This window comes from Homo sapiens, chromosome 1 (genome assembly GCF_000001405.40).
Source record: "Homo sapiens chromosome 1, GRCh38.p14 Primary Assembly".
Lineage (NCBI taxonomy): Eukaryota > Metazoa > Chordata > Mammalia > Primates > Hominidae > Homo > Homo sapiens.
The window spans coordinates 236,390,989-236,405,426 of NC_000001.11; the positions used below are offsets into that span (position 1 = coordinate 236,390,989).

General features: G+C 47.8%; 1 protein-coding gene across 3 annotated transcripts in view, besides 2 other annotated features; it reads left to right on the top strand.

Annotated features, from left to right (window-relative positions):
* The window catches only part of EDARADD (EDAR associated via death domain), a 136,672-nt gene that overhangs the window by 42,730 nt on the left and 79,504 nt on the right, over window positions 1–14,438 (top strand). Inside the window, exon 1 of one of the 3 annotated variants that reach the window (NM_145861.4) lies at window positions 3,298–3,517. The exons of 1 other annotated variant lie outside the window; for it this stretch is intronic. In NM_145861.4, coding sequence (NP_665860.2) covers window positions 3,457–3,517 — 61 coding nt within the window. In that variant the 5' untranslated portion in view covers window positions 3,298–3,456. Of the gene's footprint in view, window positions 1–3,297; window positions 3,518–4,424; window positions 4,673–14,438 lie in introns of those variants that run through there. One more of the 3 variants, NM_080738.5, reaches the window with a different exon arrangement.
* Window positions 3,920–3,969: an enhancer, noted in NCBI's record as "active region_2823". NCBI's record gives its function as "activates an Ori minimal core promoter by ATAC-STARR-seq in GM12878 lymphoblastoid cells {active_cell/tissue: GM12878}" and the evidence as "EXISTENCE:reporter gene assay evidence [ECO:0000049][PMID:35858748]".
* Window positions 4,170–4,579: a silencer, noted in NCBI's record as "silent region_2002". NCBI's record gives its function as "represses an Ori minimal core promoter by ATAC-STARR-seq in GM12878 lymphoblastoid cells {active_cell/tissue: GM12878}" and the evidence as "EXISTENCE:reporter gene assay evidence [ECO:0000049][PMID:35858748]".

A 14,438-nucleotide genomic window follows, 5' to 3' on the forward strand; every position in this document is an offset into this window, starting at 1 on the left:
CAGGCTGGAGTACAATGGTGTGATCTCAACTCACTGCAACCTCCCCCTCCTGGGTTTAAGTGATTCTCCCACCTCAGCCTCCTAAGTAGCTGAGAGTACAGGCGCCTGCCACCACGCCCAGCTTGGGCTAATTATTTTAAGACCGGTCCCCCTGTCCCTGTAAAGATCCCACGCACCTCCTCCACTCAGTGGCTCACTGTAGCAATGCCCTGAAAGGCTGTAATTGAGTCATATTCCAGCCCCTGGACTCAGGAGTCAGGGGTGATGTCGCCACCACCTAATTGCTTGGATTGAGGATGGGAACAGTGATTCTCAAGAAGAAAACTTGGACACTATTACCAGAAGTTAGTACAACTGCCTTAAAGCACTCTGGGCAAAATTTAACAACTGTCTGTTCCAAAAATGCAGAGACATGGAAACTTAGTAACTCTTGTTGGGGCATCTTCCATCACATATGATTCACTAAGGGTATATCAAGCAAATTCAACTGTAGGAACTGGCACATTCTGAGGCATAGGGTCTCTTATGTTCCTAAATTTATATTTTACCATCGTGGTTCTAGCCACTTTTCTGTAGATCAGTCCCACTTGAGCAGCCCAGTTTGCTGGGTTTTATCTGTATGGAATGTACATATCCTTTGAAGTAAGACACATGTGGTTCAATAATGTAACTTTTTAGATTGCAGAAATTTCACTGTAACACTTACCTCAAATGGCATAAAATAAGCAAAAACATGTATTCTGTGATGAATCAAACAAAATATATTTTGAGTTGTTGTTTCCCCCATTTAAAACAGCACATTTCTGATCATTGTCATCTGTTTGTGAAAAGACATGAGACCAACAGTCCTTTCCACACTTACGGCTGCAGCCTTGTGCCCATGAGTTAAAGCCTCGGAATTTGCCTGAAACTTTCCCTGTCAATCCGAGATGGTCATGACCAAGCCACTTTGCTTCCATACATCTTCAGTGCCTCCTTCCACACACACATCTTTCCTGGTTTAAACTTTCATTTCTCCAGTACTATAGCAAAACAGTATTTGCAAATCTCTTTTGACCACAAACTCCTAACAGTCAGGGACTTCTCATTTGGATTTCCCCAGGGCTTGGAATTTTGTTTTGTTCATGGGGAGGGGGTGAGATTTTTAAAATTGCATTAATGAATGAAACCAATCAATCCATTGCTCCATGCTGTGTACAAACACTGTAATAAATATTGGTTGACTTCTTATAACTAAGGCAATAGGAGCTTCTCTCAATAAACTAAATTCCAAGGAAAGAATGAAGGTAGGAAAGTAGCTGGTTTATTTGCACCTACTATATGACAGGCCTTAGTTTAGGTTTGTTTGTTTGCTTGCCTGGAGACAGGGTCTCATTCTGTCACCCAGTGGTGTGGTCTGATCATAGCTCCCTGAGGTCTGTAACTCCTTGGCTCAAGTGACCCTCGTGCTTCACCCTCCGAGAGTAGCAGGGACTACAGGCATGTACCACCATGCTCAGCTAATTTTTTTTTTTTTTTGTCAGAGTCTTGCTCTATCACCCAGGCTGGAGTGCAGTGGCACAATCTCAGCTCACTGCAGCTCTGCCTCCCAGGTTTAAGCGATTCTCCTGCCTCAGCCTCCCAAGTAGTTGGGTGCCTGCCACCACACCTGGCTAATTTTTGTATTTGTATTTGTATTTATTTATTTATTTATTTATTTTGAGATGGAGTCTCACTCTGTCACCCAGGCTGGAGTGCAGTGGCATGATCTCAGCTCACTGATCCTCCACCTCCTGGATTCAAGTGATTCTCCTGCCTCAGCCTCCCAAGTAGCTGGGATTACAGGTGCCTGTCACCACGCCCAGCTAATTTTTGTATTTTAAGCAGAGACGGGGTTTCACCATGTTGGGCAGTCTGATCTCGAACTTCTGACTTCAAGCGATCCACCCACCTTGGCCTCCCAAAGTGCTGGGATCCAGCTAATATTTAAATTATTTTGTAGAGACTGGGTCTCAAAATGTTGCATAGGCTGGTCTTGAACTCCTTGCCTCAAGCAATCCTGCCACCTTGGCCTCCGAAAGTGCTGAAATTGCATGTGTGAGCCACCATGCCCAGCCAGTATTTTCACATAAACATTATTTCAGTGAATTCTCACAATCCTGCAGACACTTGCAGACTCAGTTTTGGTTTCTTACTTAATGTAACACAACCTTAGAGTGACAGGTCCATCAGCGAAATCCAGCATATTTGACTCCATGATTACCAAATGCACTATCTCCATTTATTGGAAAAGGAAAATTGGAGGTCACTCAAAGAGCAGTGAAGTTATGGAAATATGAAATTTTTCACATGACTCTGAGATTGAGTGTTTGGGTACTATCGGGAAATGTTAAAAATGTCCATTTTCTTTTCTTTCTTTCTTTCTTTTTTTTTTTTTTTTTTTTTTGAGACAGAGTCTCACTCTGTCGCCCAGGCTGGAGTGCCGTGGTGCAATCTCAGCTTACTGCAACCTCCACCTCCCAGGTTCAAGCGATTCTTTTGCCTCAGCTTCCTGAGTGGCTGGGAGTACAGGCATGTGCCACCAATCCAGCTAAGTTTTTTGTATTTTTAGTAGCGGTGGGGTTTCATCACATTGGCCAGGCTGGCCTCGAACTCCTGACCTCAAATAATCCACCTGCCTTGGGCTCCCAAAGTGCTGGGGTTACAGGTGTGAGCCACTGCACCCAGCCCAAAAATGTCTATTTTCAATAGTGGTTTAAAACACTCTTGGACAGCAAAAGAAATAAAAGTTGAAGGACATTGTGACAGCAAATTGATTGTATGGGAACTCTGGTGAATGCGAATCATTTTTAAATTACTTTTTTTGTAAAGTGCAAAACAACAATAGCACCCATTTGCGTCATACTTTATAGTTCGCAAAGCACATGGGAAAAATAAAGGTAATGATGGGGATCGTTGCAATTCATAGGAAAGGAGGCACGAGGAAATGAAAATGAAAGGGAGTAATAACTACGTAACTAGTCAATCTTCCTTAAAAAAAAAAACCCTTAAAATATACCACCATCTTCTATTTGATATAATGCAGAATGGGAATGATAAAAACATGAATTACATTTCAGAGTTTCAAAAAGCAAACCAGCTTTATAGCAATGCTTGAGGTTGGGCTGCTAACAAGCTCACTCAACTAGTGTTTCCTGACGGCCAACGTCAGAATAATTCCATCTCCATGAGAAGTACAGAAAGAACCACAAACCAAACCTCCAAATTGATTCTAAGATAAAATACCCTTAAAAAAAATTTCCCTTCCTATCCGAAGGCAGACCAAGAGGAAGTTTATCCTCCCACCTACAAATTCCCCAGAGAGCTTTCATCTAGAAGGTTTGACTCTGGCCAGACAACCAGCGAGCATCTTCTCGCAATCTGTTGCTTCTTCCATGGCAAACTCCAGAGAATTAAGAAGCCAAACTCAACATCGCCATGGGCCTCAGGACGACTAAACAGATGGGGAGAGGCACTAAAGCTCCTGGTCACCAAGAGGGTATGTAGGCATTTGCTGTCTTCCTGGATTTCTCAGAGCTGAGTTTTTAGCCAGAGGTTGCTTATTTACGATAATTCTTGGATATATTATACACTAAATACTATTATTATCTTTTTCGACCCGACTTTTATCTTTCTGTTCTTATGTGTGAAGGCAGAGAAAGATTATTTAGAGCTCTTCAAAGATTCCTATTTAATTTAAAATGCCTGTCGCCTTCCTATAATAGGCTTATGATGGATGATAGCTTTAGTTAAAATGTAGCAATCTTAAATATATTCTTCATAACCAATTCCAACGTGTTCTCACTTAAGTAATGGGTATAAAACCCCACTTAAGCGTAATATTTTAAATATTTGAAGCCATCTTTTCTGAGAGAACCCGAAGCTGTTTTTTCTAGAGAAGCTGTGAGTGTGTATTGGGCGACTTCTGTTCACTCCTTTTCTGCAGCACTCACCCTGGAGGTCATGTAGTAACTAATGCCAAAGAAAAATCAAAATAGAAAGTACCAGCGTGTGCCATCATGCAGCGGCAGAGCCTGCTTAAAGATCAGGAAATTTGTCTAAATATCAGATCGCCGGCGGGCATCTCAGCCCAGGCCTGTGTAAGGGGAGTTCTGGTGTCTCAGCTGAGGGCGTGAGTAGGGAGCCAGGAAAGCGACCCGCGACTGCAGCCGTTTCTTAAGGCCAGTCCTTCGCTCGCAGTCTGTCCCGGGCGGCAGTCGTGTCAGCCCCCCGCTAGGACCCGCCCAGGGGGACGTGGGTACCGGGCAGGACGCGCGCTCTGGGCGCTGGGGACGCCCGGGACACTCGGGGCCCCGCCTTGCGTCCCAGCCCCGGGTCGCGGCACCCCGGCTCCCGCCCCGCGCCTCTGGAGGGAGGTACCGAGGGACGCGCAGCGAAGGGGCTTTGCTAATTGCCAAAGCAGGAAGTGAGCTCGTGGAAGAAGCGAAGGAGGAGAAGAAGAAGGGAGGGGAAGGCGGAGGAGGGCAGGGGCGCGCAGAGCCACGGTTTGCTCCAGGCGCGTCGGAACCGCAGGACTTTTCATCCCCGTGGTCCCACGGTCCTCCCGCGCCCCGGAGGCCTGCCAGCCCCGCTCGGACGCTCGTTTGCCCCTAACCCGCCGCCATGGCTTCACCGGACGACCCTCTGCGCGCAGGTAAAGGGACACAGCGCCGCGCCCGCTCCTGGAGCGAGCACCGCGGGGCGGGAGCTCGGGAGGCGCTCGCAGCAGCCGCAGGGCTATCGAGGCCGGGCCTCGGCGACCCCCGAGGGAGGCCCGGGAACCACCCCCGACCCAGGCGCCAGACCCGGAGTCGCACGGGGCTCCCAGTCCAGCCCCGCGAGCGGCTGCTGACCGCCCCTCCCGCGCTCGCCAGGGCCCCTGCCCCGCGTCAGCCACCGCGCGCCTTCCCCCTGCCCATGCCGCAGCCCCCGTGGCTTTTGTTCTGGACTCGGGATGCCAGGTTGAGACACGTCCTGCAAACCTCTGGCAGAAATGGGCGCAAGGGGGTGGATTTCGTTTTCGCCTCCCGGGCTTTTTCTTTCTCCCCGCTCACATGCCTTCTCATTACTCCTCTTCCTCTCTCCCATTGCACTTTGATGAAATGGTTTTGTCTGTCTAAACATTGGCCCTCGGAGCTATTTCATCAGATAGTATCCGCAGAATCGAGAGGCGGATCCCACCTGTGGGATCCCATCTGTGATTAGAATGGCCTCTAGTTCTGTCTTTATTTTAAAATATTGTGTGTTGGTACCCGAGGTCGGAGTGGAGATTTTTCTCTATTCTCTCACGTGAATCTAAAATCCGTCCCAGACCTCGCTTTCCTGGAGTTCTCTCTCTCCGCTGTCCTATAACCTAGACGGTGACATCCGTGGGTGTTTCTTGAACACACGAATGAATGATCTATCCCTCAGAGTACACTGGGGCTTTACTTGGTTTTGTTGAGGTTGGAAACACTGAAGAGAGTTACACAGAACCTGATATAACCGTTTAGATAAACGCGTTTCCTATTTCATTTCTTGAGCTTGGGCAGGGGCCGAGTTTGAATGTTCCATCCTTAAATTGTGGCTTCAGCAGTCAAAAGGAGACAGTGTGTCTGCAGGTGGTCAGAAGACTACACCCAACAACTAAGTTGGCATTGTGATGGCTGGGTTTGGGGGCGTTTCTTGGAAACTTCAAAGAAAGATCTACCTTTTTTTTTTTTAAGTGGGGATTGTTAAACATTTTATCAATTGGATGCGGAAAATAAATACATTGTCTAGATATTCTTCCCCATCCCCATACCTATTGTTTGAAAAAACAGAAGGGGAAACAAAGGGAGAAACCCTCCTACTGCCCCATCCCACTCCACTCCTACCCTAGCATCCACCTCCTTTTCTGAGAACTGAATTGACAAGGTGCCAAGGGGTGTTTTAGGCTGGATTTTACTACTAGTGGCCTCAGATCTCATTAAATGATGATTGCAGGGGTGGGGGGTGGGGGAATTCAAAAAGATCTTGAGAGAGATACACTGCATGGAGATAAAATGTAAAATCTACTTGGGCTCCCCTAAATCGACAGTACCAGGCAAGATGGGGGCTGGGAAACAGCTCAGCAGTGACCACAGTGTGTAAAAAGCTCAGTGGCTGGGTGCAGTGGCTCAGGCCTGTAATGCCAGCACTTTGGGAGGCTGAGGCAAGAGGATTGCTTCAGGCCAGGAGTTTGAGATCAGCCTTGGCAACATAGTGAGACCCTGACTCTACAAAAAATAGAAAAATTAGCCAAATGTGCCAGTGCATACCTATAGTCCCAGCTACTCGGGGGGCTGAGGCAGGAGGATTGCTTGAGTCCAGGAGGTCGAGGCTGCAGTAAGCCACTGCACTCCAGCCTGGGTGACAGAGCAAAAACCTGTATCTCAAAATAAATAAATAAATAAATAAAAAGCTACAGGTTCCAGATTTCCCAAGATGGTGTTCTTAGTCTGCCCAGCCCAGCCAAAATGGATGTGCACAACCTGGAACAAATGGGCAACATGGAACAAAGGGATTTCAAAATCCCAGGACATGTGGAGGAGTGAGAGGACAGAGGATATGATGATAAGAGGGCGTCATGTGGAAAGAATCTGTCTCTTTGACTTCAAGAGGTAGAACCCAAACCTGTCGGTGAAAACTTTAGAGAGAGATGGATTTGGGCTTCCTACAAAGAGAAAGGAGGCCTCCTAAGGGTGAGAGCTCCCCACCAGTTGGCAGAGGATGCTGAAGAACATACTTGACCATCTGAAAGATGATCCAAATGTCCATTCCCGCTCTGGGACTCTATTCTGTCTATAAAATGAGCGCTCCTCCATTTAAACACAGGCGCACACACACACCCCAATTTCCCCTTCCTAACATATTGTTTCGTTTCTGCAACCCACAGGAGACATCCCCTTACTCCTATTTCTGTAATGAAACCATAGATGGTGCCCATATCTTGAGCTCGCTTTACCCCAGACCAAGTGACCATACTCTCTCGCCTGATTTCCCACACTCTTCTCCCGCCTGGTGTTTTCACACCATTCCAACGTAGGTTTTCACACCCACTCTTGCCTTCTGGTAACCTATTCTGCAAAAGGTTGCCAGGGCCATCTTTTATTTTATTTTTATTATTATTATTTTTCAAGATGGAGTCTCACTCTGTCACCCAGGCTGGAGTGCAGTGGCGTGATCCCCACTCACTGCAACCTCCGCCTCCCGGGTTCAAGAGATTCTCCTGTCTCAGCCTCCCAAGTAACTGGTATTACAGGTGCACACTACCACACCTGGCTAATTTTTTGTATTTTTAGGCTGGTCTCGAACTCCTGACCTCAAGTGATCCACCCACCTCGGCCTCCCAGAGTGCTGGGATTACTGGTGTGAACCACTGTGCCCAGCCAGTCGTCTTTTAAAAACAAATCGGATTCTGCCATTTGTCTGTGCTGGCTTTGAATCCGGTGCTGGCTTTCCAACACTCCGACAGATCCTCAGTCCTTGAGGCTTACACACTCTGTGCAATCAATCCCTACCTGTTCCTTCACTTGCCTCACCTGACACCTAGCTTGACCCCTGCTCTCTGCACGCAGCCGTGCTGCCTCCTTTCATTTCCTTGAAGCCTCTTGCACCCTCGTGCCTCCTGGCCTTTGCAAACTTTGTTCCTGCGGCCTGGAAGGACCCCTGCATTCCAGCCCTCACCCCATCCTCCACCCACCCGTTTCCTTCTACTTAACCTCCAGATTTCAGCTCATAGGTCACCGGGATCCAGCCCGATGTTATACATGCTCAGCAAACCCTGTACCTTTCCTTTCTGGCACCTGTCACAATTTCTAGCTGTGATTATTTGGCCACCGTGGCTATTTCCAGTAGGAAATAAACTCGTGGACAGAGGTCATGTCTGTGTGGTAGCTCTCCCTAACACTCAGCATAGTACTCCGCACATAGTAAGCCCTGGGCAAATACCACCTCAGTGAATGAAGGAAGGTTATAAAATTTAACCACAGGCTCTTTAAAGAGTTGGGGGGAGAAAAAGCTCTTCCCGTATTGGCATTTTAGGAACTTACTCATCGAGTTAGCCGTATTAACTAAGTTTTCTTTGTAAAGTTAAAGTAAGATGTTTGTATATCCACGTGCATATAACAAAAGTATGTATATGATTATAGTATATTATGAGTTAATTGTATTTATTTATTTATTAATTTTTTTGAGACAGAATCTCACTCTGTTGCCCAGGCTGGAGTGCAATGATGCGATCTTGGCTCACGGTGACCTCCACCTCCTGGGTTCAAGCAATTCTCCTGCCTTAGCCTCCCAAGTAGCTCGGATTACAGGGGTGTGCCACCACCCCTGGCTAATTTTTGTATTTCTTTTTTAGTAGAGACGGGGTTTCACCATGTTGGCCAGGCTGGCCTGGAACCACTGACCTCAAGTGATCTGACTGCTTCAGCTTCCCAAAGTGCTGGGATTACAGGCATGAGCCACCACGCCCTGGCCACACCCTGGCCATGAGTTAATTTTAAGTGACTTTTTACATTGAGAAAATTCACAAGACTGTCACAGTCACATGGAAGGAAAACAATGATGGTGGTTATAGTGTAGCTATCACCCTGTGTCTCTCCCACTGAGAAACAGTCTCACAATGGATGAGCCAGATTTGTCTGTCAAATGTTTGTAAAATCTGTTTGTTCATGATTGTTCATACAGATAGATTTTACAGACAGAAACAAACAACCGGGCTTTGAAGGTCTGGGTCAAAGGTGGCACAATTCCTTGCTTCGTTGCAGTAAGGCAAGTGCCGACGGCCACAGAGCATTGCAAAAGAGCACATTCTCCCTTTGTTCTGAGACTCCACACCGCAGGGCTGTTTCCTGGGGGAACCCTGGGCCTGGGCCACCAACTCAGGACAGCCCCAGTGGTGGCATTCACCTCTCACTGCCCCTCCTGTGGGCTTCAATGGGTCCAAGGTGGCAACCTACCCTCCTGTGGCATTGGGCGCAGTACCCAGGACTAAAGGATAAACCACTTCCTGGAGCACTCATATGTGCAAAGCTGGACCAGCCAATTCTTTCTGCAGATACACCAAAGAGAGGGATGGCAATCTGTGGTTTTCCCTTCTCTGCTCCTTCTGCCCTTTCTCTTTCTCCTCCACGTGGGTTTTCCCAATGCTCACTTCATTTCTCTTCCTTTCTTACAACGCCTCTGCTTTGTGAGTTTCCTTCTCTCTACCCAAGCATTTTCCCTGAGCTTTATCTCTTTGTTTGCTGTCTTCCCTCATCCTCCCCTGCCCTCTTCTGTTTGATCCCCCGTCAGTAGCCTGGCTGACACACTTAATGCTCGGCTGCCCTCCAGAGAGGTTGCTGTAGGGATGTACTTCTGTGATCCTTGCCCCTTTCCCAGCTTGTTCAGCCCCTGCTGCGGGGTCTGAGGTTGACAGAGTAGCCGAGGTCAGGGTGAGGTGCTGAAAAGACAGAGGAAGCTCAATGAAACAGTGTCAGCACCACCACGCAGCAGCACCCCTGCAGCTCTGAGAGCTTCTGGAATCCTGAATATGTCTCAGGACTCCAGAAAAACTTCCTTTTGTTTTTTCTGTCTCGCTCTGCACTCAGGCTGGAGTGCAATGACACGATCTTGGCTCATTGCAACTTCCATCTCCTGGGCTCAAGCAATCCTCCCACCTCAGCCTCCTGAGTAGCTGGGGCCACAGGCTTGTACCACCACACCCGGCTATTTTTTTTTTTTTTTTTTGTATTTTTAGTAGAGATGGGGTCTCGCCATATTGCCCAAGTAATCTCCTGAACTCAAGCAATCTGCCCTCCTTGGCCTCCCAAAGTGCTGGGATTATAGGAGTGAGCCACCACACCCCACCTCCAAGCCTTTTTTATATCCAATAATGACAATAGCAGTCAAAAGAAAAGTTATGGGCTGGGAGCGGTGGCTCACGCCTATAATCCCCAGCACTTTAGGAGGCCGAGGGAGGTGGATCACCTGAGGTCAGGAGTTCAAGAACCAGGCTGGCCAACATGGCGAAACCCCATGTCTAATAAAAATACAAAAATTAGCTGGGCACCTGTGATCTCAGCTATATGGGAGGCTGAGGTGGGAGAATCACTTGAACCCAGGAGGCAGAGGTTGCAGTGAGCTGAGATCACACTGCTGCACTACAGCCTGGGCGACAGAACAAGACTGTCTCAAATAAAAAAAAAAAAGCTATGGTACAAAACAACACACAAATAACAAATGAGAAAGAAATTAATCCTGCAATCACACATTCAAATAATTGCCTGTAATTCTTCACTAGAAAGCACAGTGACTGCACTTTTCTGGCTCAGGATGCTTGGGAAGGCCAGGAAGTCCTGACATACTTCCTTGTTTTCTCTGAAAGGACATCTTTAGAGATGTTTGAACTTCCTTTGAGAAACCGTCTCTAGGAAGCATTCACCGCTATCTGATGTCAGAATGCGGCAGTGCAGTCCTCGGCCGCCCCACCAGTGTCTGTTTCGGGTTATGTGCTGAGGATTCTTTCTGGAGAGGCTGTTGCATACAGTACGTGTTTCCCAGCATTCCTGAAGAGGCTCTGATTTGGTAGATGATGGGATTTGAGTCTTTGAGTTGAAGAAGAGTAGATGAGATTTAGGATTTAGAGTGGATGCTGGAATGATTAACGCTTTTGGGGATGTCGGGAGGAGGCAAATAGATTCTGCATGTGGAAAGGATGGGCAGGGGGCAGAGTGTGAACTGTTACGGGTTGAATTGTGCCCCTCTAAAAAGATATGTTGAAGTTGGAATTCCTAGTACCTCAGAATGTAACTTTCTTCGGAAACAGAGTCTTTCCAGAGGTAACCAATTCAAAATGAAATCATCAGAGTGGGCTCTAAACCAATATGATTGGTGCCCATATAAAAAGGGGAAATGGGACACACAGACACTCACCTTCTCAAGAGAGTCTGTCGGGTGGTCAGTGTATGAACCACTTCTATTTTATTTTGAGACCAAGTTTCGCTCTTGTTGCCCAGGCTGGAGTGCAGTGGTGCTGTCTCGGCTCACTGCAACCTCCACCTCCCGGGTTCAAGCGATTCTCCTGCTTCAGCTTCCTGAGTAGCTGAGATTACAGGCATCCATCACCGTGCCCAGTTAATTTTTTTATTTTTAATAGAGATGGGGTTTTCCCATATTGGTCAGGCTGGTCTCAAACTCCTGACCTCAGGTGATCTGCCCGCCTCGGCCTCCCAAAATACTGGGATTACAGATGTGAGCCACTGTGCCCAGCCCACTTCTATTTTAAATTTTATTTTATTGGCCAGGCGTGGTGGCTTGTGCCTGTAATCCCAGCATTTTGGGAAGCCAAGGTGGGTTCAGGAGTTTGAAACCAGCCTGGGTAACATAGTGAGACCCCCATCTCTACAAAAATAAAAATAAATTAGCCAGATGTGACAGCACATGTCTTTAGTCCTAGCTACTCAAGAGGAGGTGGAAGGATTGCTTGAGCCCAGGAGGTGGAGGCTGCAGTGAGCTGTGATTAAGCCACTGCACTCCAGCCTGGGTGAGAGAGTGAAACCCTGTCTCAAAATTTTTATTTTATTTTTTATTATTTTAAATAAGTAGAAATGAGGTCTCACTGTGTTGCCCAGGCTGTTCTCAAACATCCTGAACTCAAGCAATCCTCCCACCTTGGCTTCCCAAAGTGCTGGGACTACAGATGTCAGCCACCACACCTGGCCATGAGGCACTTCTAGAACCTGATTATACTGGAAAACAGGCAGATTATGAAGCCAGAAAGTCCCAGATACAAGTTCTGGCTTTTCCACTTACCTCTTACCCTGTGATCTTGGATACTCAATGTGTGAAAAAGGGGATGCCTAATGCCTTCCTCAGGGTTACTGGAAGGCTTAGCTGAGACTGTGTGTAAGCCATGCCATGCAGAGCAGACGCTAGGGAAGCTTTTAAACTTTTCAAACTTGTCTTGTCTTTTCTTTTTTTTTTGAGACAGAGTCTTGCTCTGTTTACCAGGCTGGAGTGCAGTGTTGAGATCTTGGCTCACCGAAATCTCCGCCTCCTGGGTTCAAGCGATTCTCCTGCCTCAGTGTCCCCAGTAGCTGGGATTACAAGCATGTGCCACCACGCCTGGCTAATTTTTGTATTTTTAGTAGAGATGGGGTTTCACCATGTTGGCCAGGCTGGTCTCGAACTTCTGACTTCAAGTGATCCACCCGCCTTGGCCTCCCAAAGTGCTGGGATTACGGGCGTGAGCCACCTGTTCGAACTTTTCTAAGTGAGAGCTTTGAAAGCTTTTTTCTTTTCTTTTTTCTTTTTTTGAGAAGGAGTCTCGCTCTGTCGACCAGGCTGGAGTGCAGTGGCGTGATCTCGACTCACTGCAACCTCCGCCTTCCGGGCTCACACCATTCTCCTGCCTCAGCCTCCTGAGTAGCTGGGACTACAGGTGCCCGCCACCATGCCCGGCTAATTTTTTGTATTTTTAGTAGAGACGGGGTTTCACCACGTTAGCCAGGATGGTCTCGATCTCCTGACCTCGTGATCCGCCTGCCTCGGCCTCCCAAAGTGCTGGGATTACAGGTGTGAGCCACCACGCCCAGCCTAGAGCTTTGAAAGTTTAATTGTGAACTTTCAGCTTGGAGGTGCTCTTTGACCCATGTGGATACTACTACTCACCACTCACGGACTTTTAAAGCAGGAAGGGGATGCAGAGGTGCTCTGTTCACCTCCTGAGATTTAAGTTGGGGATTTAGGACCCACAGAAAGAAAATGAGGGTGCAGCCCGCCCTGCCTGCTCTCACCCGCAGCCTCTGTGAGCCAGGCCAGGTGCCCTCGCCAGCCCTGATGCATCAGTTCACCAGGTTTCTCTCATGCCTTTTGAGGAACTTTCCAGAATATGCTTGAGGGAGTTACACCTCATTCTCACTGCCGGCAGAGATATCCCCAGCAGTCAGTTACCAGCTAATTTGAGGTGATCTGAGCCTTGTGCAGAGTCACCGACCTGGGGGAGCCCAGGCAGCTTTGGCAGAAAAGCACAGCCTGGCATAAGATGGCAGCCATGAGCAGAGGACAGATCCCGCACCGGCCCTGGCGAAACCACTGGCCTTGTCTCCGATGGGCTCACGTGGCCCCGCTTCTCCTCTGCTCCTCTGCCCGTCCTATTAGATATCAGAGCCTTGCCTGAAGGCTCAGCCTGCTGTTAGGCGGGGGCTGGGAAAAACAAACATTTTAAAGCTTCTAGATAAACGATTTGATTTTACACTTAATAGTATCGTAAACATGCAACTCCAAGTTCCTAAGAAAGACCTTAGGGCAGCTTTCCACTTCTGAATCAGTCTCAAATAACCAGGATCTGCTCTCCTCCAAATAACTTCCCTGGTACACACTCACATCTGGACCTGTGAGAACAAAAGGAGTCTGCCAGGATCTAAAATAAAGGCCAGGGAGAAGGTGCAGTTTCAGATACAGTGCATGGGCGCCACCGTGGGCCTGGGTCAATGAGTGTATTTGGCAGTAACATGTATGTAAGAACTTAATCCACAGCTTGATATAAGGCAAAGGCTGATAAAGTCAGAACCGCAATCAGAAAAATCATAAAAGACCTGACTAGCCTGGGCAATATAGCGAGACCCCGTCTCTACAAAAAACAGAAACAAAATCCCCCATACATTAGCTGGGCATGGTGACGCATGTCTGTGGTCCCAGCTACTTGGGAGGCTGAGGTGGGAGGATCGCTTGTGCTTGGGAGGTTGAGGCTGCAGTAAGCGGTGATCACATCGCGGCACTCCAGCCTGGGTGACACTGTGAGACGCCGTCTCAAAAAAAATGTCTGGCGCGGTGGCTCACACCTGTAATCCCAGCACTTTGGGAGGCTGAGGTGGGTGGATCATCTGAAGTCAGGAGTTTGAGACCATCCTGGTCCAACATGGGGAAACCCCATCTCTACTAAAAATGCAAAAACAAATCGGGCATAGTGGTGGGCACCTGTAATCCCAGCTACTCAGGATGCTGAGGCAGGAGAAACGCTTGAACTCAGGAGGCGGAGATTGGAGTGAGCCGAGATCACGCCACTGCACTCCAGCCTGGGCGACAGAGTGAGACTCCATCTCAAAAAAAAATTAAGTAATTAATTTTTAAAAAAAGACCTGAAAATGCCTCTAACACCTGTTCTAAAAGTAGTGCCTTTCCCAGTTCCCCTCTCACTTCATTGTTGTGCTTCAGAAAACAAAAAAACCTAAATTCTCTGTGTCTTTCTCATCTTAAGTTCCATTTATTCTGAGATGTCAGACCGAAGCAAGAGACTTTGTGCCTATAAACCTGTGATGTCTTCTGTCTCTATCTTGTTGGCCTCATAACCCTCCAACACAAGCCCTGGGATCTCACAGAACTCGGTCAGAGTCTGAGGAGTGTTGATTGAAATTCACCCACCCAGGTGGTTCCCA